The following is a 7581-nucleotide window of genomic DNA, read 5'->3' on the forward strand; positions in this document are numbered from 1 at the left end:
AGAGAAGAGGAGGTTGGTGTGGAGCACAGGCAGCACCGAGCCTGCCCCGTGAGCTGAGGGCCTGCAGTCTGCGGCTGGAATCAGGATAGACACCAAGGCAGGACCCCCAGAGGTATGTGCCAATGAGGCCAGGGCAGCTGAGAAAAGCCAGGCATGGGGAAAGGGCTGCTGTCTGCCTCCCTATGGCCTCAGCCTCCCAGCAACCCCAGGTCCAGAGAGTCACACAGCCTCCAGCTAGTCCTGTAGATGACTCGCTCCGTCCCCAGTCCGTGCAGCTGGGATAAGCTGGGCCCTGGCTCTCCAGCCAGGTGACAGCTGGGCCCTCTACCTCAGCCTGGGACTGGCAGCCATGCCTAATGCCCTGCAGGGCAGGAAATCTGGCACCTTCAGCCATGACCTCTGATGTCTGCAGGGTCTTACGCTATCTACCATGGGACCAGGGGGCTACAGCCCTACTCTGCAGGGGTCTCTCAGCTTGAGCCAACCTGGCTGGCGGTCCTCCCAGGTTCCATTGCAGGAGGAGGTGGTGAGGCGCTCTGGGGTCTGTAGTCCTGGGAGGGGACTTGGACAGGCTCCAAGTCTGAGATGGGGCCTGCAAGAGGCAGCGCCTCTGTGCTCTGAGCTGCCCGTCTGCCTGGAGCATTTAAGGGAGCAAAGGTCCTCTCTGGTGAGGGCAGGGAGTGTGGGGAGCAGCTGTCCAAGAACAGCCCTGGCACCTCGTTGCCCAGCCACAGCCCAGGATTCCATGTTTCCTCTCATTGACCAGCCACAGCCCAGGATTCCATGTTTCCTCTTCTGAGAGTTAGTGGGGGAGAGCAAAGGCCCGATGCTGGGCCCTGAATCCCTGGGGACAGTGGGGACACGGTGGGCACCCTGAGGTCTCCTCTGTGGGGTGGGGGGAGCATCCCCCAGAGTTCAGCTCTGGGGTGGGGGCGGCACCCACCCACCTCTGCAGGACCCCCCAGCGTGGGGGGAGTTGGGCCGCAGTGACTTGGCCTGAGTCCCCTGTCCCCACACTTGGTTTATGCTCCTACCCCCAATCCCCCATAACGCTTGGTCTCCAGGGCAGACTCAGTCCAGGCCCGACTCCTGTGGTGTTCCTGGCATTTCCGCCCCATGCTGAGGCAGGCCAGGTTCTCAAAGCCCTCAGCCCTGACCCGTGGGAGGACAGCCCAGACGAACCCCAGAGGCCTGGAGGCTGAGCTGGCTGCTCCTGGGTGGACAGCCGACCCACCGAGCCCTGGGTCCCAGCGCCCAGCCTGGCTGCAGACACTGGCACTCAGCACTGCCCAGGCCCAGGCCCCAAACCTCGGAGACATCCCCATCCCAGCCAGGGGCCAGCCAGCTCCTGCCCTGGTGGATGTCTCAGTCAGAGGCTGGCCAGCCAGGTGACCATGCTGGGCACAGACCCCTCCCTGCACCCGGGGAGGGCGCCTCTGTACTTGTGAGGCACCCTTCCCCCATGGTGGCACCTGGGGCAGCCTGACTGCTTGCTTTGGGGGTAGGAGTGGGGATGGGAGCCCACATCCCACAGGGCCCAGATGGCCTGGCTCCCAGCTCCTTGTGGGGTGACCACTCTGAGGAGATAAGGCGAGTCCCTGCAGCAGAGGACAACCCCCTCTGCCAGCAGTAGGGGTCCCACTCTGCCGCCATCTCTGCCCTCTCCACGCCTAGCCTCTCCAGCAAGGGTACTGCTCAGCTGCCCCCTCTGACCTGTGGCTCTCTGGAGGGGCTGCCGTGGGGCCAAGACAGGAGCCCAGCCCAGGAGGGAAGCAGTTATTTATAGGCCAGCAATAAGAGGACCAAGCGACAAAAGCAGAAACAGCCCTTTCAGACGCAGTTTCAGTTGTGGTTGAAACAGGGAACTGAGATGCAAATACCTAGATACTCACTGAGTGGGAGACCCTGAAAGGGGAGACACAGAAAGCCGGGGCATGTGGCTAGGCACAGACGCCCGCCCGCCCCTCGTGCTTGGCCCAGGCTCAGCCCTGGGGACCGCCTTAACAGCAGTCCTTCCGGCTTGGCCAGGGGGACAGGACAGGTGACATGTGGCCGGCTGCGGGCTCCAACACCCACACGGCTTGTCCTCGTGGAAAGCACACCCCCAACATCCAGGGCGTGACCTCGGGCATGAGTGGGGGGCTTTTGGGGGCTTATGTGGGTGTCTGTGCAGGGGTGTCCCCAGTGCCCAGCTGCCCAGGCACTGAGGGGCAGTTCTGGGCAGAGCTGGAGCTGCTGGTGATGCCAGGCTGCCCTGTGCAGATGCTGAAGCCTCTTTGGAAAGCAGCAGTGGCCCCCACATGGCCATGCTCCATGCCGCCCCGCCGCCCGTGGGACAGAGAGGCTGGCACGGTAGGACTGGGGGGCCCCAGGGGGGAGGTGGCTGGGATCAATGGCCTTTCAAGAGCTCCGAGCCAGAGTGGAGAGGTCACAAGCAGCCTTGAGGGGGCCTCCAAGCAGAGGTGCCCTGACTGGTGGGCAAGGGAAGCCTCCCTGGGCTGCTCCAGACCTTCCCTTTATGCCCCTGCTGGAGGTGCTGGGGACAGCCAGTTACCACGAGCCACAGCATTGCAGAGTGGGCTGCAGGCCCCCTGACCCCTGCCACCACCCTGGGCTGGGGGCCTTCTCTGTATCACCCTCCCCTCTCCCTTGTCCACCCTAGTCCCACCCCAGTGGCAGCCCAGGTCCGGGAAGTCAAGACGGTCTCTGTCTCAGCACTGGAGGGGCCATCGTGGCCCAGCCAGAAGTCAAGCCCCGCCCTGTCTGGTGACCCTGCGGGTGCTGCCCCATCCAGTTGCAGGTCCTGGGAGCGCTGGCTGTGCTGTGGCTGGGCTCCGTGGCTCTTATCTGCCTCCTGTGGCAAGTGCCCCGTCCTCCCACCTGGGGCCAGGTGCAGCCCAAGGACGTGCCCAGGTCCTGGGAGCATGGCTCCAGCCCAGCTTGGGAGCCCCTGGAAGCAGAGGCCAGGCAGCAGAGGGACTCCTGCCAGTAAGTGAGCCCATGGAGGCCTGCGGGGGCAGGTCTCAGTTTGGGGCTGCTGCCTGTGTTTCTGCCCTTGGATCTGCCCGTGAGATAAGGGGGGCCCTCTACCAGCTCCTCCAGGAAGGTGCAGGTCACCAGGGAGGGCCACGACCATATGAGCTGGAGTGGGGGCTGGGGACGGGGCAGGCGTGTGGTGCTTTTTGCAGCAAACAGAGGCTGCCACCTGGGGGCTCTGACAGGCTGGAGAACACTGCCTGTGCTGAGGCTCACCCCCTCAGTCCTTCCACCCCTGGGGGTAATGTCACTGTCCCCTGCCGCCCCTCATCCTTCCCTCCCACCCTTCTTTCCCTGCGGTTGGGGTCCTGGAATCCCAGGACTGCCCCGGAGGAACCTGTTGGGCCATCCTGCACACATCCCCTGGAAACGGGAGCTTACCTGCCCCTGGCCCAACCTTTCCCTTCCAGGCCAGCTCTGGCCACCACCAAGGGCTTCCACACCACGAGGCCACCCCAGACCCCAGACTCCACAGCTCTGCTCTACTCTGCCCGGCTTCAGGAGCAGCTGCTCCCTGTGGGCAGTGCCTCAGGGCTGAGTGGGGCCAGGACCCCCCAGTCTAGCCTGCTCTGGACCAGGCAGCCCCTCTCAGGCTCCTTCCCAAATTGCTCCTGGGTGTCACCACCCCAGCAGCATGCTGGGCTCAGGCCCACCCTGCCCAGTCTGTTTTGTTGCCTATACCTTAAACCCTTACCCTGCACACTTGGCCTGGGCTCATCCCGGGGGCCACCTGAGCAACGGTTGCTCTGGCTTGGCAGTGGGATGGGGCAGGTGATGTGAGGTGGGCTGGGGGCTCCCGCACCCATACTGAGCCCAGTGTGGCTCTCCCCACAGGCTTGTCCTTGTGGAAAGCATCCCCCAGGACCTGCCATCTGCAGCCGGCAGCCCCTCTGCCCAGCCTCTGGGCCAGGCCTGGCTGCAGCTGCTGGACACTGCCCAGGAGAGCGTCCACGTGGCTTCATACTACTGGTCCCTCACAGGGCCTGACATCGGGGTCAACGACTCGTCTTCCCAGCTGGTGCGCCCCGCCCTGGCCCCACCGCATCCTGGTGCTGGAAACACAGCAAGTCAGGCTGCCTATCTATGCAGGCGTCTCGGGCACCAGGCCCGGGGGCTCAGCTTGGTGGTAGGGTCTAGCATGGAACAGGGATTAGGCCGCTCCTTTGGGGGCTCTAACAGCAGAGGTGTCAAGGAGCTGGGCCTCTGGGTGACTAAACACTCAGACTGTGCCTGGTGCAGTTTGGCTCTCACCAAGGGTCATCCAGATACTTGACCTGACCTTGAGCTGTGGGCAGTCATAGGTGGGCCTCCTGAGGAGGACATGGGTCCTAGTGGGGATGCGGAGGAGAGGGCAGCCTGAGGTCAGCTCTCATGGCTGGCCTGGCCTTGCAGGGAGAGGCTCTTCTGCAGAAGCTGCAGCAGCTGCTGGGCAGGAACATTTCCCTGGCTGTGGCCACCAGCAGCCCGACACTGGCCAGGACATCCACCGACCTGCAGGTTCTGGCTGCCCGAGGTGGGTACCTGCACCATGCTGGGCACCACTGCCCTAGCGTCGGGCATGGGCTGTCTGGCTGGCACCACAGGACAAGGAAAAGAAGTGAGGGTGGGAAAGGTGCCCTGGACTTCCCTAGGACACCCCAGGAGGGCAGGACCCAGGGCTCTGAGGTCCTTTGAGTCAGCTTCACCTGGGCACAGGGCTGGTTCCACGGATCCAAAAGTGCCATTTTCCACAGGGCAGAGCACAGGTGGCCTCGGAGCCCTGCTGAGCCCAGCAGCTGACCTGTGGGTGGAGGCTCAGGCTGGGACCTCTGGCTGGGCAGTGAGAGGCCATGGGCAGTCACCACAAAGGCAGGCTCTGGAGCTGAGCTGCCCAGAGGGATCCTGGGCCAGTCTATCCCTCTGTGTCCTCACCTATAAAATGGGGATGAGGATAGCAGCAGCTTAGTAGGACTGTTGTGAGGACATCTGAGTCAACCCCACTGTCAAGAGCTTGGGGTCAGGCTCACCATGAAGCTAGCACTTAGCAAGACCTAGTTCATCCCATTGCCTGAACTCTCCACCAGGTGCCCATGTACGACAGGTGCCCATGGGGCGGCTCACCAGGGGTGTTTTGCACTCCAAATTCTGGGTTGTGGATGGACGGCACATATACATGGGCAGTGCCAACATGGACTGGCGGTCTCTGACGCAGGTGAGTGCCAGGGCCCTAACACAGGAGGCCTGCCTGAAGCGTTTCCCCGCCTGCACTCCTGGGGACTTGGCCTGACATCTCAGTGCATCTGGAGAAAGTCGTGTAGTCCTGTTTACAATTCACTATGGTAGAAACAACCGGAGACTGGTCTAATAAATGATAGAATTCTACACAGCCACTGAATTCATGCTGTGGAATCACATTCAATGACATGGAAAGATGTTCAAGTCACATTACCCAGGGAAGCATGGAGATTACAAAATACAAGCCTTTTTAGGAAAAGCAATGCATGAAAAACGTGTCAGAATGGTCATGGCAAAGGCAACCATGGTTATCACTTGACAGTGGGATTAAGAATGATCCCATTCTTAATGGCTTGATGCATTTTCTATTGTTTTTGTAATAAACGTGTATTGCTTTGATCATTGGAATACAATGTTCAAAAACACAGGCACCCGCTGGGCACTCCTCCCACCAGCACACTCTATTACAGATTCCTACAGGCAATGCTTCCCGCAAGTGGGGACCAGTCGGGCAGGGACTGCACCTGCCCCAACATCCCTGGCCTGGGTGGAGTGGGGTGGAGGCCCCACAGAGGGGTTTTTCTCCCACAGCGCCTGACTTTGGTCCCTGCAGGTGAAGGAGCTTGGCGCTGTCATCTATAACTGCAGCCACCTGGCCCAAGACCTGGAGAAGACCTTCCAGACCTACTGGGTACTGGGGGTGCCCAAGGCTGTCCTCCCCAAAACCTGGCCTCAGAACTTCTCATCTCACTTCAACCGTTTCCAGCCCTTCCACGGCCTCTTTGATGGGGTGCCCACCACTGCCTACTTCTCAGTAAGACGGGTTGAGAAGGAGCCCATCAGAGGCCCCTGTTCTCCCCTGGCTGGCCAGACCCACAGGGAGCCCTCTGGGCTGGCCCTGCAGACACCAGCAGCATCAGCTGGGTCCTCAGGCAGCCAGCACCATGGGTGGGGCTGTGGCCCTGGGGTGAGCAGCAAGCAGGCTGGCATCAGTAGGCTCTGGGCTGTGCCTGGAGGCAGGCTTAGCTCCAGGAGGACAGCTGGTCAGCACCATCCCTGGGAAACAGGCCGCCTGGGAGGTGGTGGGAGGACCTGGGGCCCTGGGAGTCTCCAGACTGCTGGGCGAGGCCAAGGGGCTTAGCTGGGCACTGGAGAGGGAGGGGAACCCCACTTGCTCTGCGGGGAAGGAAGGGAAGAGTGAGGGGTGGGCAGATCCTCCTTTATCAGCCCACGGGGGTGGGGGTGGACAGCCCTCCAGCCAGCCGAGGGACTGGTCTGTAGTAGAGGCTGTATCAGAACAAGGGAAGCCTCCCTAGATGGGGGTGGGGGTGGCACCCTGAAGGGAGTGGATAAACTTCCCTGTGGCCAGGAACTGTTTCTGGGACGTCAATCCAGCCTGGAGCCCAGGGCAGTCCAGCTGCTTCCCCACTCTCTCCGCCAGGCCTCAGAGCCAGTCCCCAGGACCCCTGTTGAGCCGACCCCTTCTTTCCTCATATTTCCAGGCACCTGGGCCCCCTCCCTCCACACCACATGGGGCCTCTTAGGTGGTGCATGGTGGGGTCACAAGTTCAGAATGGGCTGGGCTGGCAGAGCCTTCAGGGATTTCTCTCCCGTCACAGGCGTCGCCACCAGCACTCTGTCCCCAGGGCCGCACCCGGGACCTGGAGGCGCTGCTGGCGGTGATGGGGAGCGCCCAGGAGTTCATCTATGCCTCCGTGATGGAGTATTTCCCCACCACGCGCTTCAGCCACCCCCCGAGGTAGGTCTGAGTGGGAGGTGGGCGGCCTGCTCTGCTGACGGGCAGCTCCTGGGCACGTCCCCTCCTGCTGGGACCCCTATCGGGCCCGGCTTGTAAGCAGAGCCCCGTCCCTCCCCACCCCAAGGTACTGGCCGGTGCTGGACAACGCGCTGCGGGCGGCAGCCTTCGGCAAGGGCGTGCGCGTGCGCCTGCTGGTCGGCTGCGGACTCAACACGGACCCCACCATGTTCCCCTACCTGCGGTCCCTGCAGGCGCTCAGCAACCCCGCGGCCAACGTCTCTGTGGACGTGGTGAGGGCGTGCTCCCGGCCGGGCGTGGGAAAGGCGGCCCTCCTGCCGCCCTTCCTGACGCGCTGCCTCTGCTCCCCTAAGAAAGTCTTCATCGTGCCGGTGGGGAACCATTCCAACATCCCATTCAGCAGGGTGAACCACAGCAAGTTCATGGTCACGGAGAAGGCAGCCTACATAGGTGAGCGCGATCAGATCACGGCGGGCGGGCCCCAGGGTGGCCAGGCACGGGCGAGGGAGGCACTGGCTTTGTGACCGGCGTGGACACCTCAGGAGGGAGGGGCT

General features: G+C 62.5%; 1 protein-coding gene across 3 annotated transcripts in view, besides 3 other annotated features; it reads left to right on the top strand.

Annotated features, from left to right (window-relative positions):
• Positions 1–7581, top strand: part of PLD4 (phospholipase D family member 4) — a 12907-nt gene continuing 5326 nt past the window's right edge. For 2 of the 3 annotated variants that reach the window (NM_001308174.2, XM_011536411.3), the window contains exons 1-10: positions 1–112; positions 2225–2352; positions 2795–2988; positions 3871–4054; positions 4429–4549; positions 5100–5227; positions 5864–6064; positions 6870–7009; positions 7134–7299; positions 7381–7477. In NM_001308174.2, the coding sequence (NP_001295103.1) occupies positions 2242–2352; positions 2795–2988; positions 3871–4054; positions 4429–4549; positions 5100–5227; positions 5864–6064; positions 6870–7009; positions 7134–7299; positions 7381–7477 (1342 nt within the window). In that variant the 5' untranslated portion in view covers positions 1–112; positions 2225–2241. The remainder of the gene's footprint in view (positions 113–2224; positions 2353–2794; positions 2989–3870; positions 4055–4428; positions 4550–5099; positions 5228–5863; positions 6065–6869; positions 7010–7133; positions 7300–7380; positions 7478–7581) is intronic. The other variant, NM_138790.5, reaches the window with a different exon arrangement.
• Positions 174–343: an enhancer, noted in NCBI's record as "experimental_33759 CRE fragment used in MPRA reporter constructs". NCBI's record gives its function as "activates a minimal promoter by MPRAs in K562 erythroleukemia cells, with activity observed for both the introgressed and non-introgressed 14:105391474 variant alleles {active_cell/tissue: K562}" and the evidence as "EXISTENCE:reporter gene assay evidence [ECO:0000049][PMID:34662402]".
• Positions 326–835: an enhancer, noted in NCBI's record as "H3K4me1 hESC enhancer chr14:105391541-105392050 (GRCh37/hg19 assembly coordinates)". NCBI's record gives its function as "activates a minimal SCP1, AML or CMV promoter by ChIP-STARR-seq in naive H9 embryonic stem cells {active_cell/tissue: H9 hESC(naive)}" and the evidence as "EXISTENCE:reporter gene assay evidence [ECO:0000049][PMID:30033119]".
• Positions 7426–7581: part of an enhancer, noted in NCBI's record as "H3K27ac-H3K4me1 hESC enhancer chr14:105398641-105399539 (GRCh37/hg19 assembly coordinates)", that runs on past the window's edge. NCBI's record gives its function as "activates a minimal SCP1, AML or CMV promoter by ChIP-STARR-seq in naive H9 embryonic stem cells {active_cell/tissue: H9 hESC(naive)}" and the evidence as "EXISTENCE:reporter gene assay evidence [ECO:0000049][PMID:30033119]".

This window comes from Homo sapiens, chromosome 14, assembly GCF_000001405.40.
Source record: "Homo sapiens chromosome 14, GRCh38.p14 Primary Assembly".
NCBI classification, from domain to species: domain Eukaryota; kingdom Metazoa; phylum Chordata; class Mammalia; order Primates; family Hominidae; genus Homo; species Homo sapiens.